This window comes from Homo sapiens, chromosome 14 (assembly GCF_000001405.40).
Source record: "Homo sapiens chromosome 14, GRCh38.p14 Primary Assembly".
Taxonomy (NCBI): Eukaryota; Metazoa; Chordata; class Mammalia; order Primates; family Hominidae; genus Homo; species Homo sapiens.
This window is the reverse complement of record NC_000014.9, coordinates 94,261,372-94,278,118: the sequence shown is the minus strand read 5'-3', so window position 1 is coordinate 94,278,118 and position 16,747 is coordinate 94,261,372. Positions and strand designations below refer to the sequence as shown.

The 16,747-nt window shown below is 34.6% G+C and overlaps 1 protein-coding gene across 10 annotated transcripts in view; it reads right to left on the bottom strand.

Moving 5' to 3' along the window:
- The window catches only part of PPP4R4 (protein phosphatase 4 regulatory subunit 4), a 105,413-nt gene that overhangs the window by 1,616 nt on the left and 87,050 nt on the right, over positions 1–16,747 (bottom strand). For all 10 annotated transcript variants that reach the window (NR_145441.2, NM_001348144.2, NM_001348143.2 and 7 more), the window contains 5 exons: positions 13,172–13,241; positions 12,646–12,732; positions 12,232–12,325; positions 11,090–11,160; positions 2,598–2,745 (listed from right to left, as the gene is read on the bottom strand). Coding sequence is in view for 9 of the 10 variants with exons in the window: in NM_001348144.2 (NP_001335073.1) it covers positions 2,598–2,745; positions 11,090–11,160; positions 12,232–12,325; positions 12,646–12,732; positions 13,172–13,241 (470 nt within the window). In the remaining variant the exon portion in view is untranslated. The remainder of the gene's footprint in view (positions 1–2,597; positions 2,746–11,089; positions 11,161–12,231; positions 12,326–12,645; positions 12,733–13,171; positions 13,242–16,747) is intronic.

Genomic DNA, 16,747 nt, shown 5'->3' with positions numbered 1-16,747 from the left:
TAGGCTTATTTTAAATGAAAAGAACATATTTTCACTTGGATATGGCCTGTTTTGAATTGTGGATACTATTTCACAGAAGAAAGACCAATGTGGATATCATCACCCATCCAGCCATGTGGCAGTGTGCACTCAAGAGAGATCCATATAAGTGCCACATCAGATGGAAATATAGTTACAAACTTGTATACCCAGTCACAAGTTAAAAAAGCAACTGTGGATATCAACGTCCCTCCTTTAGAATCAGAAAAGACTAAATAAACCTGATGTGTTATCAAAATGTTTGTTTCTAGATTCACTTTTTAATCAATTATACATATATATAAATTATATAAATAACTACATACTACGTATGTTGAACAAGAAAAAATTCAGTCTATGAAAAGGAAAAGCATGCTCAACAGTGAAACAACAGATAAAGAGAGTAATCTGAAAGAAAGGAGAACCAGCATAAATATACTGGGTTTCAATGGTCTTTACTGTAAAAAATGCCTATGGCATTTAGAAAAATATAGCAAGTGGACAAGAGATTACTTTTGATGTTACTAAATATGCTCTTCAACAGAAGAATTTCAGGGCAATCTTTTCAGAGGAAGAGGGTTTAGGGTAATAAAGAGGATTTCAGGATGCCAGAGCTAGAAGGCACCTTAGAGGAGGAGGAACCATGAGACAGCCCTGTCATGTGACAGACATGCACAGCGAGGGCCAGTGCGCTGAGTTGAACTTTGCACAACCACTTAGCTGCTGCTGGGAACGAGGCACACAAAGCTCTCTATACACCATTACCATGTCCTGCCTCTGTTTTCATGACTTTTTTTTTGAGACGGAGTTTCACTCTTGTTGCCCAGGCTGGAGTGCAGTGGCGCAATCTCAGCTCACTGAAACCTCCGCCTCCCGGGTTGAAGCGATTCTCCTGCCTCAGCCTCTTGAGTAGCTGGGATTACAGGCACATGCCACCACAGCTAGCTAATTTTTGTAATTTTTTAGTAGAGACAGGGTTTCACCATGTTGGCCAGGCTGGTCTCAAACTCCTGACCTCAGATGATCCACCTGCCTCGGCCTCCCATATTGCTGGGATTACAGGCGTGAGCCACTGCACCTGGCACTTTCATGACTTTTAAGTGGAACTTCCATCGTATAATCATGGGAGCAATAATTGTATAGCTAAAGAGCATTCTCTGTAAATAAAAATATACTCTGCATTGACATTAACCTGTAATATCAATGTTCATTTTTTTCTATTACTATTACATTTTTGTAATAGTACATTGGTCCTCTTTCCTTGAGCTCTAGTCAATAAATTTATTTCTAAACTTATTTCTAAATTTTGAATGAAGTTGGGCATATACCCAACGACCAATTACAATTTGGAATACACATAGTTTGGATGTTTGTCCCTGCCCAAATCTCATGTTGAATTGTAATCTGCAATGCTGGAGATGAGGCCTGGTGGGAGGTGTTTGGATCATGGGGCTGATCCCTCACGGCTTGGTGTTTTCTTTGTGACAGTGAGTTCTCGCAAGATCTGATCATTTAAAAGTGTGTGGCACCTCCCCCAACCCCACTTTCTCTCTCCTGCTCCTGTTTTTACCATGTGATGTGCCTGCTCCTGCTTCACCATCTACCAGGATAATAAGCCTCCTGAAGCTTCCCCAGAAGCAGATGCCGCTATGCTTCCTGTAAAGTCTGCAGAACTATGAGCCAATTAAACCTCTTTGCTTCATAAATTACCCAGGCCCAGGTATTTCTTTATAGCAATGCAAAACAGCCTAAATCAGATCCTAAAAGGGACTCCAGCACAGTTTTTGCAAAAGAATGTATTTAAGAAACTTTATTCAAAAATGCCCATGCATTCACTAAAATACATTTAAAAGAAAATCTAAATCTTGTTAAAAGTCTGTTCCAACCAGAAGGTTCAGGTGTCCTATATGAAATGGCTAACTTGTAACTATGGTTTGGGTATCCTGGCTGAATCATTTATACCCTGATATAGTCTCTTATCATGGTGATTTTTATGGTACCCCTCTCTTAAATATTTAAGGTAAAAGAAAGACTTCAGCAAATCAAGATACAAACAGCACATTAAAAGGAATCATGGGGGAAAAGGAGAAAGGAGGCCCTTTATAACCTCAGCTTCAAGACACAAGTACAGTCTGTAAATCTCTTCAGTTTATTGGACTCACAATTCTGGGTTCCATGCTGCCACTTATTTCTTAAGTGACATCAGCTTTACCAATCTTTCTGCACACTGGGTGATTAAATACCATATCCTTAAGCTAGGTGTTTAAAGGGATGCCTTCTTAGAGATAAATTCCCTAAATGTAAACATTTCATAGAAAAAAAATAGATTTCAGACATTAGTGGGAGCCATTTAAATGTTTCCTGTTGATTCCCTAAGGTTATAATGCCTTTGCCATATATAAGTTATTCTATATAAACTAACATAACAGAGTCACATGTGACAATAATACCCTTTAATTTATAACATTTTCTCATCACAGACATTTTCTATTCTTTGGAAAGTACTTAAGTGGGAAGGAAAGTGTGTTAAGCAAAAGAGGAGGATAATACACTCAGTCTGACATCACTTGATTACTTACAAGGTAGCCTTCCGTGGTTGTGTATCTTTACTTCCACTGCTCTTGGGGTCAACTGAGTTACCTGTCCCACGGGAAGTACTCGGTAAGGGAGTATTAGGAGAAAAGGAAGATGGAACGCTACTGGCATTACGAGTCCGGAATGAATCATCTGAAAGCAATACATATAAAGTCAGACATACCAAATATACTAACAAAGAGGGTAACCAAAGAGAAGAAAAGGTTAATGATAGCTAACTTTTTCACCTTTTAAATCAATTTTATGAGGGTATAATTTACATACAACAAACTGCAAAAAGTTAAGGTTTTGACATATGTACACCCCCATGAAGTCATCACCACAATCAAGATGTGAACATGTCTATCACTATGAAACAGTCCCTCATACCCCATCACAATCCTCCTCCTCCCTCTCCAAACCACTCCTGTCAACTATAAATTAGTTTGTATTGTCTAGAATTTTATATAAATGAAAACATACAGCATATACTCTTTTTTGTCTGGCTTCTTTCATTCAGCATAATTTTGAAAATCATTCATGTTTTATGTATCAATACTTCCTTCCTTTCTATTTCTGACTGGTATTGTGTGAATCTGTCAAAATTTGTTTACCCATAATATCTGTTGATAGACATTTCTATTTTTTTCCAGTTTTTATATATTACAAATAAAGCTGCTATGAACACTCACGTACAAGTCTGTGTGTGGACATATGTTTTAGTTTCTTCTCAGTAAATGCCAAGGAGTGGAAGTGCTGGGTCATAGACTAAATATATATTTAACTTCAAAAGAAACTGCCAAATTGATGTGCAGAATTTCTTTTCTTTCCTGACATTTCTGCCAGGAACATGTGAGTATTCTGGAGAGTTACTCCACATCCTCACACACACTTGATATTGTGAGTCTTTCTAGTTTTAGACATTCTAGCAAGTGTGAAGTGATATCTCCTTGGGTGCTTTTTTTATTGCTTTTAAATTTCCATTTCCCTAATGATTAGGACGTTAAGCATCTTTTCATGCACTTACTTGTGTATCTTTTGTGAAGTTCATGTTCAAACCTTTTTCCCATTTTAAAATTGGTTGCCTAATTTTTACAAAGACATCTTTGTATATATTCTGGATACAAATTCTTTGTCTGGTACATATGCTATGAGTATTTCCTCCAAATCTATGCCTTGCCTTTTATTTTTTTAATGCTCTATTTCAAAGCCCAGACGCTTTAATTTTGATTAAGTCCAGTGTGTTGATATTTTTGTTTTATGGTCAAGATAAATCTTTGTGTATTCCAAAATCACAAAGACTTTCTTCTGTATTTTCTTTAGAAAATATAGACACTTTTATGCTTAGGTTTATAATACATTTTGAGTATAGTATAATTTTGTGTATAGTGATAAGACTTGAGATTCACAGGAACGGAAAGTCAGATACTGCCTGTTTTCACTTATAAGTGGGAGCTAAATAATGTGTACATGTGGTCATAGAATGTAGAATACTTGTCACTGGAGACTAGAAAGGGTGGGAGTGTCAGAGGGGATGATGGATGAGAAATTACTTAATGGTAAAATGTACACTATTAGGTTACACTAAATGCCCAGACTTAACCACTGTGTAATATATCCATGTAATAAAACTGAACTTGTATGCCTTAAATTTATATAAATTTAACAAATAATTAAGGTTCAGGGTTTGTTTTTGTTTTTGTTTCTTTAATATGGATATCCAATGGTTCCAGCACTACTTTTTAAGTAGACTCTATTTTTTAGAACAGTTTTAAGTTTACAGCACAATTGAGTGGAAGGTACAGAGATCTCCCATATCTTCCCATTCATATACAGCCTCCCAACTTCAATGTCTCCCACCAGTGGTACATTTGTTGCATTGATGAACCCACATTGACATGTCATTATCACCCAAAGTCCACAGTTCACATTAGGATTCACTCTTAATGGCGTACATGCTACGGATTTGGACAATATATAATTGACATGTTTCCATCGTTTTGGTATCATACAGAGTGTTTTCACTGCCCTAAAAATTATCTGTGCTCCATCTATTCATTTCTCCTTCCCCCGAACCCCTGACAACTACTTATCATTTTACTGTCTCCATAGTTTCATCTTCTCCAGAATGTCATATAGTTGGAATGTTTCGATTTGCTTCTTTCACTTAGTAGTATGTATTTAAGGTTTCTTCATGTCTTTTCATGGCCTGATAGCTCATTTCATTTTAGCACTGCATAATATTCCACTGTCTGGATGTATCACAGTTTGTTTATTCATCTACCTACTGAAGAATAATTTGTTTGTTTCCAAATTTTGGCAATTATGAATAAACATTCATGCTCAGATTTTCGTGTGGATGTAAGTTTTCAACTCCTGTGGATAAATACCAAGGAGCACAACTGCTAGATCATATGGTAAGAATGTCTGGTTTTGTAAGAAACTACCAAACTGATGTTCCATAGTGGCTGTACCATTTTGTATTCCCACCAGCAATGAATGAGAGTTCCCATTGCTTCACATCCTCACCAGCATTTGCTGTCAGCGTTTTGGATTTAGACCATTCTAATAGGTGTGTCATGGGGCTTCATTGTTTTAATTTGCATAAACCTGATGACATATGAGGAACATCTTTGCATATGCTTGTTTTCCATCTATATATCTTCTTCAGTGAGGTATTTATTCAAGTCTTTGCCCATTTTTTAATCAGGTTGTTAGTTTTCCTACTGTTAAGTTTTACAAGTTTTTTGTATATTTTGGATAAAAGTCCTTTATCAGATTATGTGTTTTGCAAACATTTTCTCCCAGTCAGTGGCTTGCCTTCTCATTCTCTTGACAGTATTTTTCAAATAGTAGTTTTAATTTTAATGAATTTCAGCTTATTCTTTATTTCATAGATTGCGCCTTTGACATGGTATCTAAAATGTCATTACCATAAGCAGGGTCATCTAGATTTTCTCCTATGTTAACTTCTAGGAATTTTATAGTTTTGCATTTTACATTTAGAACAGCGATTCATTTTTGAATACATTTTTGTGAAGGGTGTAAAAGATCTAATTTTGTTTTTTCATGTGGGTGTCCTATTGTTCCAGCTGCATTTGTTTGAAAAGACTATCTTTTCTCCATTGTATTGGCTTTGCTCCTTTGTTAATGATCATGTGACTACACTTACGTGGGTCTATTTCTGGGCTTCCTATTCTGTTCCTTCAATCTGTTTGACTATTCTTTTGCCAATACCACACTGTCTTGATCGCTGTAGCTTTATACTAAGTCCTGAAGTCAGGTGGTGTCAATCTTCTAGCTTTGTTCTTCTTCATTATCATGTTGGCTATTCCGGGACTTTTCTTCTCTAGGTAAACTTCGCAACAGTTTGTTGATATCCACCAAATAACTTGTTGGGATTTTGACTGAGACTGCATTTAGTTTATAGATCAAGTTGGGAAGAACTGACGTCTTGACAATATTGAGTATTTCTAGCAATGAACATGAGACATCTCCTTCTTTATTAGTTCTTTGATTTCTCCTATCAGAATTTTGTAGTTTTCCTTATATAGATCTTGTACATATTTTGTTAGAATTATGCCTGAGTATTTCATTTTTCTGAGTGCTGATAGTAAATGGTATTTTGCTTTTAATTTTAAATTCCTACCTGTTCACTGCTGGAATATAGGACATACTCAACTTTGCACATTAACCTTACATTGACCTTCATATATTACCCTTATATTCTGCAACCTTGCCATAATCACTTCTTAGTTCCAGGAGTGTTTTTGCCAATTCTTGTGGATTTTCTACATAGATGATCATGTTATCTGTGATCAAAGACAATTTGAGTTCTTCCTTCCAAAATCAGTATATCTTTTCTTTCCTTTTCTAGAACTTCCAGTATGATGGTAAAAAGGAATGGTGAGAGGAATACATCATTGTCTTGTTCCTGATCTTAGAGGGAATGCTTCTGGTTCCTCACTACTGTGATGTTATCTGTAGGTTTTTTGTAGATGTTCCCTATCAAGTTGAGGAAGTTCTCTATTCCTAGCTTACTGATGGTTTTTATCATGAATAGGTGTTGGGTTTTGTCAAATGTCTTTTCTTCATGTATTACCATGATCATGTGATTTTTCTTCCTTGGCCTGTTAGTGTGATGTATTACATTAAGGGTTCTTCAAATGGTGAATTAGTCTTCTATAACTGTTATAAATCCTACTCAGTTTTGGTGTATAATTCTTTTTATATATTGTTGGATGTGATTTGCTAATTTTTTTGATAATTTTCACATTTGTGATCTTGAGAGATGTTGGTATGTATTATTCTTTTCTTGGAATGACTTTGGTAGTTGGGTAATGCTGACCTCACAGAATGAGTTAGGGTGTATTCCCGTTGCTTCTATCTTGTGAAAGAGATTGTAGATAATTGGTAAAATTTATTCCTCAAATATTTGGTAGAATTTATCAGTGAACCCATCTGGGCTAGATGCTTTCTGTTTTGGAAGATTATTAATTACCAATTCAATTTCTTTAATAGATATGAGCCTATTCAGATTGTCTATTTCTTCTTCTGTGAGTTTTGAATTGAGTCTTTTTTTGTTGTTGTTGTTGTTGTTTTTTTTTTTGAGATGGAGTCTCACTCTGTCTCCCAGGCTGAAGTGCACTGGCATGATCTTGGCTCACTGCAACCTCGTCCTCCCAGGTTCAAGCGATTCTCCTGTCTCAGCCTCCCGAGTATCTGGGACCATAGGTGCACACCACCACACCCAGCTGATTTTTGTATTTTTAGTTGATAGGGTTTTGCCATGTTGGTCAGGCAGGTCTTGAACTCCTGACCTCAGGTGATCCACCCGTCTCTGCCTCCCAAATTGCTGGGATTACAGGCATGAGCCACTGCACCTGGATGAATTGTGTCTTTCCAGGAATTGGTCCATCCAGCACCATTTTTTAAAATATTATTCTATCACCATTGATTTATCTTTGAAGCCTTTGTTAAAATCTACTGACTATATATGACAACATAGAACACAATGTCTTGATTACCAGCATTTTATAGTAATTGTTGAAATCAAACTTATATTTAAGTTCTCCAGCTTTTTCTTTTTCAAAACTATTTTGGCTACACTGGGGTCCTTTTGCATTTCAATACAGATTTTTAGAATCAGCTTATAAATTTCTGCAAAAAGACTACTAGAATTTTAATTAGGATTTCACTGAATCTCTGGATCAATTTAGAAAAAAACTGACATTGGAACAATATTAAGTTTTTCAATCCATAAACATGTTATATTTCTCCATTTATTTAGGTCTTTAGCTTCTTTCAGCAATATTTCAAAGTTTTTTATGTATCTCTAGCATATTTTGTTAAATTTGTCCCTGAGCACTTAGTGTTTTTGAAGATACTGTAAATGTTATTTTTTTAAATAAACTGTCTTTTTCAGAACAGTTTTGATTTACAGAAAAATTGAGATGACAGAATAATTCTCATATATTCCCCTCATCCAATTTCCTCTACTAACAGCTTACATAAGTATGCTATATTTATTATATTTAATGAACCAATACTGATACATTATTAACTAAAATCCATAGTAGTTATTATTTTATCTAATAGCAACTTCTTCTGTCTCAGGATCCCATCCAGGATACTATATCACATTTACTTGTTAGTTCTCCTTAGGCTCTCCTTGGCTGTGACAGTTTCTCAGACTTTCCTGAACAGTTTTGAGTAGTATAACTGAAGACAGGCATAAGTCCCCACACAATGAACAGTGGATTCGTGTTAAGTAAAAAGTATCCAATCTGGCATTCCAAGCTCTGACTCTGACCTTTCCTTACAGTTTTGTTTGTTTGTTTGTTTGTTTTTGTTTTTGTTTTTTTTTTTTCTGGAGATGGAGTCTCGCTCTCTCTCCCGGCTCACTGCAAGCTCTGCCTCCCGGGTTCACACCATTCTCCTGCCTCAGCCTCCTGAGTAGCTGGAACTACAGGCGCCTGACGCCACGCCCGACTAAATTTTTTTTTTTTTATTTTTAGTAGAGACAGTGTTTCACTGTGTTAGCCAGGATTATCCGGATCTCCTGACCTCATGATCTGCCCACCTCAGCCTCCCAAGGTGCTGGGATTGCAGGCGTGAGCCACAGCGCCCGGCCTCCTTACAGTTTTATGTAACACTACTCCATTATACTCACTCCACACTCCAGCCAAACTAGTCAGCTGCTGCTCCCTGAAAACACCAACAATCATCTTTTGTTTATGACCGGTACTGTGAATGGAATGTTATTCTATACACATCTCTGCCTGTCAAAATCCTAGCATACCTTAAGGTTCATCTCAAATGACATAATCATCTTGAAGCCTGTTTTGAGTCCGACAAATAAGATCTCTTCTCTATGCAAACATCTGACAAATTTGTTAAAAGATGTTCTGCTTCCATTTTCTCTTTATAGATGTATTACATAGTAAATATTTTCAGTTTCTATTTTAAGTAATGAATAACAATAATAAGCACCTTTTTCTAACCAAGAACTCTAGGAGATATTTCATTCAACCTACAGTTCTCCCTCAACTAAAAATAATATTGAGACATTAAAATAGAATATTTTTCAAATATTTTAATAAAATATTTACTCTCATGATATAGTTTGGCTCTGTGTCGCTACCCAAATCTCACCTTGAACTGTAATAACCCCCATGTGTTGTGGGAGGGACCCGGTGGGAGGTAACTGAATCATGGGGGCGAATTTTTCCCATGCTGTTCTCGTGATAGTGAATAAGTCTCACGAGATCTGGTGGTTTTATAAAAGGGCAGTTCCCCTACATACACCCTCTTGCTTGCTGCCATGTAAGACACGTCTTGCTTTCCCTTTGCCTTCTGCCATGATTGTGAGGCCTCCCCAGCCGTGTGGAACTGTGAGTCAATTAAACCTCTTCCTTTATAAATTACCCAGTCTTGGGTATGTCTTTATTAACAGCATGAGAACAGACAAATACACCTCATAAAATACATAACTTAAGACTTTGGATGTAAGTTTTAGAATCTGTGGACCATATCTACTCTCTTGGTTCTTAAGGTCACTTAAAAACTAGCAAAGTTAAAACTAAATAAATTAATGCACTTAATTAAAACTTTTAAAAACCACTTCTGAATCAATATTCTTAATGATTTAGACAAAGAAATTTCTTGACAAAAAATGTTACAAAATCATGAATAAACATGCTCATTACAGCTAAGTGAAGAAGTACCAAGAGGACAGGTGAGATCCATCCAAGTCTGAAGAACCCCTTATGAACATCTATAATCATCTGCACCATTAGCTCGAAGCTAATTCAAACTGGTTTTGTACACTAAAATTTTTAAAGGCACTCTATATTTTAAATAAAGTTCTTAAACTCTGAATGTTCCTTAGTACCTCCTAAAGAATTCACAGCTTTACTGAGCTGAAAGTAATCAATGGTTTTATTATTTATAGTCCAAGATATGGGGAAAATTTTAGTTAATCAACTTTCTGTTATCAAATTATTTCTTGCGATAATCACCATCTACCTTGCAGAAAACCACTCTATATACTGTACGTGAATGTCGATGCTTTAATGCTAGAAAGATTTTCTCTTCCAGCAAATGAACCAGTTTACAGAAGAGCCAATGAGTATATACATTCCTCCTAAGAATTAAAAAGAAAAAGAAAAAGAAGACAGAATACTCAAAATGTAACCTAAAAAGAAAATGTAACTAATCTCTTAAAAATTTCAGATCTTTGAGCAGATTCACTACTATTTACACCTAAAAAAATTACCATAGATCAATAGTAAAATTTTCAACCAGTATCTCCAAAGCATAAAGTTAAAAACACACATTTAGCCACTAGTAATTTTAACAATATAGTCTACATTATTTATAGTATAATTCTATGCTCTATTATATAAACCAGAGGCCAGCAAATTACAGTCTGTGGGTCAATCCACTGCCTGTTTTTGTAGATAAAGTTTTATTGGAACACCGCCATATCTATTCATTATGTACTGTCTATAGCTGCTTTTACTCAGTAACAGCAGAGTTCAATTTGGCCAACAAAGCCTGTATGTTTACCTTCTGGCCCTTCAGGGAAATGTGCTGACCCCTGCCACAAACTTCCAAATACATAATATTGTAAATGTCTAGCTGTTCATCTAGATTTACAGTGAAGTCCTGTTGTTTTTAACTTCCCTAAAAATTATTGCAAAACCTTTTTGTCTGTGCCTCAGTAAACCTTCCCAGTATGGCAAAACATACCCTATCACTTTTGTTCTTTTTCTATTTTAAAAGTACTAAACTCTTGAGTCTTGACACAGTGAAGACAAAATAGTTTAGTCAAATATTTTCTCAATTGCTAGACAAAAGTTTAATTTCTTAGGGACCTGATAAAGATTTAGATTTAAGAAAACACTACATCTAGTACTAAAGAAATAGGTCATTTAAGGAAAATAATATTTTGTTAAATTTAGCAACTTTTTGAAGAACTTAGATTGCTACTTACCAGCTAGTGAAAGCACAGAAGTCTTTCCTAACCCTGAGACAGAAGTTGTATATCCTGTTGTAGAACTTTTACTAGAAAACAACATGATTTAGTTTAAAATACAAAAACACACTTCTTACAATCTCAGTCATCTAACACTTGTGCTGTTTTAATCTTCTTTTTAATGCTTTCCTCTACTTATGAAACGTTTGTTGCTTTTATTTCTCATTTTTTTTATATTCATGCCTCACAACACTTACTTCGTCTATAACTTGAAAGCATTTCCTTAAACTTTTGCTTCATCAGAATTACAGTTTTTCTTTTGAGGTTCAAGCAAGGCAGCTAAAATGGGTAAAATTTTCTTGGAAACAAAACTTATCTTTAGTTATAATCTCTTTTTTCTATCTTGAGATCACTCTACTGGCCAGGTACTCTTGATGGATCTACTGATAATGCCCAAAAACACAGCTGAAATTCTGTAAGAAGCTATCTTTAATAAAAGAAAAATACTTTTTCCTGAAACATGTAATTTATCTTGATAGACAAAGGAATAGTTTTAAAGATATTTGTTTTCTTAAAATTATTTTGCTTGTCAATTGACATACAGCAGTTTGTATAGCACATATAAAAAATCATGGTAATTTAACTTATATTGATTCTATCCTAATCTTAACTGCTTGTAATTTTGTCTCCTGGGCTAAAGGGGAAACCAGACATTCATCTATTGTCACGCTAACTCTGCTGTGATCACTTTATCATATGAACATGCCAATGGATTCTTTATAGACAGAAACAATATTAGTAGCAAAGGGATGTCTATATACATTTAGATAATGGAACATACTCATACGTATTAAAAGTTAAGTGGCACATGTGATATACTACTATCTCCCTCATGAAATAATATATGGATTCTATGATATTATTAAATAGTATCATGTCAGTATTCTTCCTAGAATGCCAGAATACCTATTTTTGTGAAAATTGTTGGAGGTCTCTTATTTTTAAATATAACAATCCCTACAGAAGAACACTCACAAAATACTGGCCTATAAAAAAACCTCAAAATTAATTCTGATTTTTATAAAATGTAAACTCATATATATGAAGATGTGAATAAAGATAAAAATTATGTTAAAAATTGAAGGGCTTACAGATCGTACCTAGCACATTTCTCTAAGTTGCCATATTTTGCATGAAAAGCTTGATTATTAAAAGACTGGCTTCGAATCAGTTTGGATTTCTTGATTTCTTTACCTAGAGCAATAAGCAGAAAAAAGAAAAATGTATTCAGTTCATCCTCGGCTGCTCCAACCCCCATTCCCTCCCCAACTACCATCATTTTCAGTAAAACACAGATGGCTTTAGCCTTTTTTCCTTAATTTGAGCTCACTGAAGTATCTCTTACCCTTACTACCAATTAAAAACTACCAAAACACCTAATGATAGAAGGTGAAAAGTGCTTTAGAATGAGATATATTATCCTACTGTATCTCATCTAATAGAGTGACTTTCCCAGCAATTTGTATACAAGGAAGAAAAATTACAAAAAGATATAAAAAGAAGTTATTTCTTACTTGTCGATGGGGTGACAGAAGAGGGTCCAGGAACAGAAATGGGGATGTTCTTGGGCAGACTTTGCGTTGGTGTCTTAGTGTCTCTACCTAAAATAAATTCTGCTTTAAGTTGTATAATTTCCTCTAAGTCCTTATTAATCTCCATAAATACACAAGACAACTCAGACAATATGAATCACTATCCCTAGCTAAGCAGCTTTCTTTTCCAAATATTCTTACTTGGTAATATTTACATATTTCAATCTTTGTTATTCAGTGATCAATTTCACAATCTTACAGCTGTTATCAGACTTGAAGCTTTTCTTTTGAAGCATCTGAACGTCCACCCTGGTTCCTGCCTTTCATTCATGTACTCTTAACATCTGTACCACATTAAGTGGCCAATTTTCAAAAACGACTTTTCAAAAATGAAAGAAAGTAAAGCAATTTTCCATATCAAATAAAAAATTCAGCATGGTCTTTCAGAATACCAGGATGCAACATTAATTATGTAATTAAGTGTTGAAGACATAGAAAAACTACTTACGTTTCTTTTCAAACATTTTATCACTCATGGGCCTTCCATCATTCTGTTGCTTTTCTTTCTCTAATTGTTCCTGTTATTAAGACAGTATCTTGCATTAAAGGTACAACTGAAGTAGGTCTAGAAAATTGTTCTGAGAAATTAAGCATTAGAGATTCAAGTAAAGTTCATAAAAATGCCTAAAAGAAGTATTTTTTTCCAATGTTAGTGTCTAAAGAATTCAGGGTTCTTTCAGATTTGTGCTCTTTTCATATCTACAGAATTATGCCCTTGAGGGTTTGTCAAGCTAAAACAATGAGTTTGGTATCATTGTAATAATTACCCTTCATTTTCTAGACGGTATTTCCTAAATCACATTAGCAAAATATCCATTACTTTGGTCGTTTCAATTTCAGATTGGTAAATGGCTAAATAATATCTTTCTTTAAAAAGATTGAGAGAAAAGAAAATGGTCTTGGATATTTTTAAATGCTTTATTTAAGTATAATATACATAGAGAGGCTGGGCACAGTGGCTCACACCAGTAATCCCAGCACTTTGGGAGGCCAAGATGGGTGAGTCATCTGAGATCAGGAGTTTGAGACCAGCCAGGCCAACATGATGAAACCCCATCTCTACTAAAAACATAAAAAAAATTAGCCAGGCATGGTGATGCACGCCTGTAATCCCAGCTACTCAGGAGGCTAAGGCAGGAGAATCACTTCAACCCGGGAGGTGGAGGTTGCAGTGAGCCTGGACCATGCCACTGCACTCCAGCCTGGGTGACAGAGTGAGACTCCATCTCAAATATACATACATAAATATGTATAAAGAAAGTACACAAATTATAGGTATACAAATTCATAGCTCAATGAATTTTCCCAAAATAGACGCACTTGTATAACCAGCTCCAATATCATGAAACAAAACGTTACCAAAACACAGGAGGCCCTTATGCTAACAGAATAGGCATGAAAATCAACAAACACAGCAAGTTCTGAACAAACTTGGTATAACTGACATGCTAGAATACTAGAGTCAACAAGTGGAGAATAAATATTCTTTTCAAATGCACATGTAAACTAAGGAAAAATATGGAGAAAATAAGATAAAGAATTTCCACATAGAAGTGGACTACATAAAAAAATCAAATGGAAATTCTAAAACAGAAATAAAGCATAAAACTGAAAATTTTCATTGGGTTGGATTAACGGAGTTATCTATTTTCTACATGTTTGCCTCTATTATCTTGATCATATTAATCACAGTTATCTTGAAGTCCTTGTCTACTAATTCCAGTATCAGGATTATCTGCGGTTCTCTTTCTATTGTCTGTTTTTGTCTTGGGCTAGGTCATTTGGTCCTAAAATTTTTTAGAGTCTTCCCTACAGTTTCTCCCACTGGCAATCCTGAATTCTAATCTTGCTTTGAAAGGCTGCTGAAATAATAAAATTTCCACTTTAGTCACACAAATTCTTGGCATAGAAATAGAAAACACTAAAAGAACCAAATGGAAATTTTAGAACTGAAAAATATAATATTGGAAATAAAAAAATTAATTGGATAGGCTCAGCAGCTGAATGGAGATGACAGGGAAGGGTTGGTAACACTGAAGATACATCAAGAGAAATTATTCACACTGAGTAGCACAGAGTTTTTTTAAAAATTGAGAAAGAACAAAGCCTCTTGGCCTACGGACAATAATAAACGATCTAATATATGTGCAACTGGTGACCCAGAAATAAGAGAGAGAAAAATTGGAAGAGAATATATATTTAAATAAACAATGACCAAATCTTCCCAAATTTGGGGAATGATATACATTTACAGGTTCAGTAAGATTACCAAATCCAAACTGGATAAATTTCAAGTAAATAATGCCTAGATGCATCAAAAGTAAGCTGCTAAAAACAAAAGCTAAAGGAAAAAAATATTTAAAGTGTCCAGAGAAAAACAATGCTTCATAAAGAAGCATCAACAATTCAATGAGAGTAGCTATTTTATCAGATGTTATGGTGGCCAGAAGACAGACAGAAACACATTATTAGAATGCAGTAAGGAAAAGGCTGTCAACCCAGACTTCTATACCCAGTGAAAATATCCTTCAGGAATGAAGGTAAAAATAAGACATTTTAGATAAAGAAAAAATAAGAGAAGTTGTCACCAGAAGACCTGTGCTTCAAGATTTGCTAAAGAAAATTCTTTTATCTTAAGGAAAAAAATACCAGAGGGAAATTTAGATCTTAAGCAATGAATGAAGAGCACTGGAAATGGTAAAGATCTGAGTAAATGTAAAAGTTTACACTAAGAGTGTATTCTTCAAGATACATATGACAACTTAAAGCAAAATTACAACACTGGTGGGGTCTTCAATGCAGATATAATTCATATGACAACTGTAACATGAAGAATGGGTGTGGAGGAGGTAAAGAGATTTGTATTATTGTTAAGTGACATGATATAATAATAACAATATGTAGACTGTAAAAGGTTAGGTATGGATATTAAAATCCCTAGAGAAACAAGCAAAAAAAATTTCCAAAAAAAGGAGAGAGGAAATCCCTAACACAAGAATAAAATGGTTATCATCATAGATTAATGCCATAATTAAAAGGATAATAGAATATTATAAATAACTTCATGCCAACAGATTTGTCAGTTTAAATAACATGTAAACTGGGGTGGAAGGGAAGCAACTTACCAAAATTGACAACAGAAGAAACAGAAGATCTACATTATCTAATGTCTACTAAGGAAATAGAATCAATTATCAAAATACTTTCCAAAATGAAAATTCCAGGCTTAGATAACTTCACTAGTGAATTCTATAAAACTCTTAAGGCAAAAATAAAACCAAGTTATACAAACTTGGTCAGAAAATAGAGAAGGTGGGAATACCATCCATCTTGTTTTATGAGGCCAGAATAACATTAATACCAAATCTAATCCCAAAAATGACAAAAAGGGGAATTATAGGCCAATTTCACTATGAATCTATGAATACAGATGCAAAATCCCTTAACAAAAACATTAGCCAAGGATCCAATGGAGAAAAAGGACAATAAACCATTGCCAAATAGGGTTTATCTCCAAAAGACAACATTGGTTTACCATTTGAAAAATCAGTGTAATTCAGTATATTAGCAGAATGAAGGAGAAAAATCAAATATCATTTCTAGATACAACAAAATGCAACAACCATTCATAAAAACTCCTAGCAAACTAGGAGTAAGAGGTAACTTCCTCAATCTGATAAAGGGAATCTACATAAAACCTATTTCTACCATCATACCTGATGATGAAAGACTGAACTGTTTCCCCCTAAGATCAGTAAAAAGACAAGGATGCCTACTTGTACCACCTTAATTTTACTGGAGGTCCTGGATCTTGCAATAAGACAAAAGAAAGAAACAAAAGGCATAAATATTGAATAGAAAGAAGTAATATTGCTGTATTTAAAGAAGATATGATCACTTACGTATAAAATTTTAGTTTTAGAAAATCTAAAAAACAATTTTTAGAATAAACAAATTTAGAAAGTTTATAAGATACAAGGTTAATATATAAAAATCAACAGTATTCTTATACTCCAGCAACAAA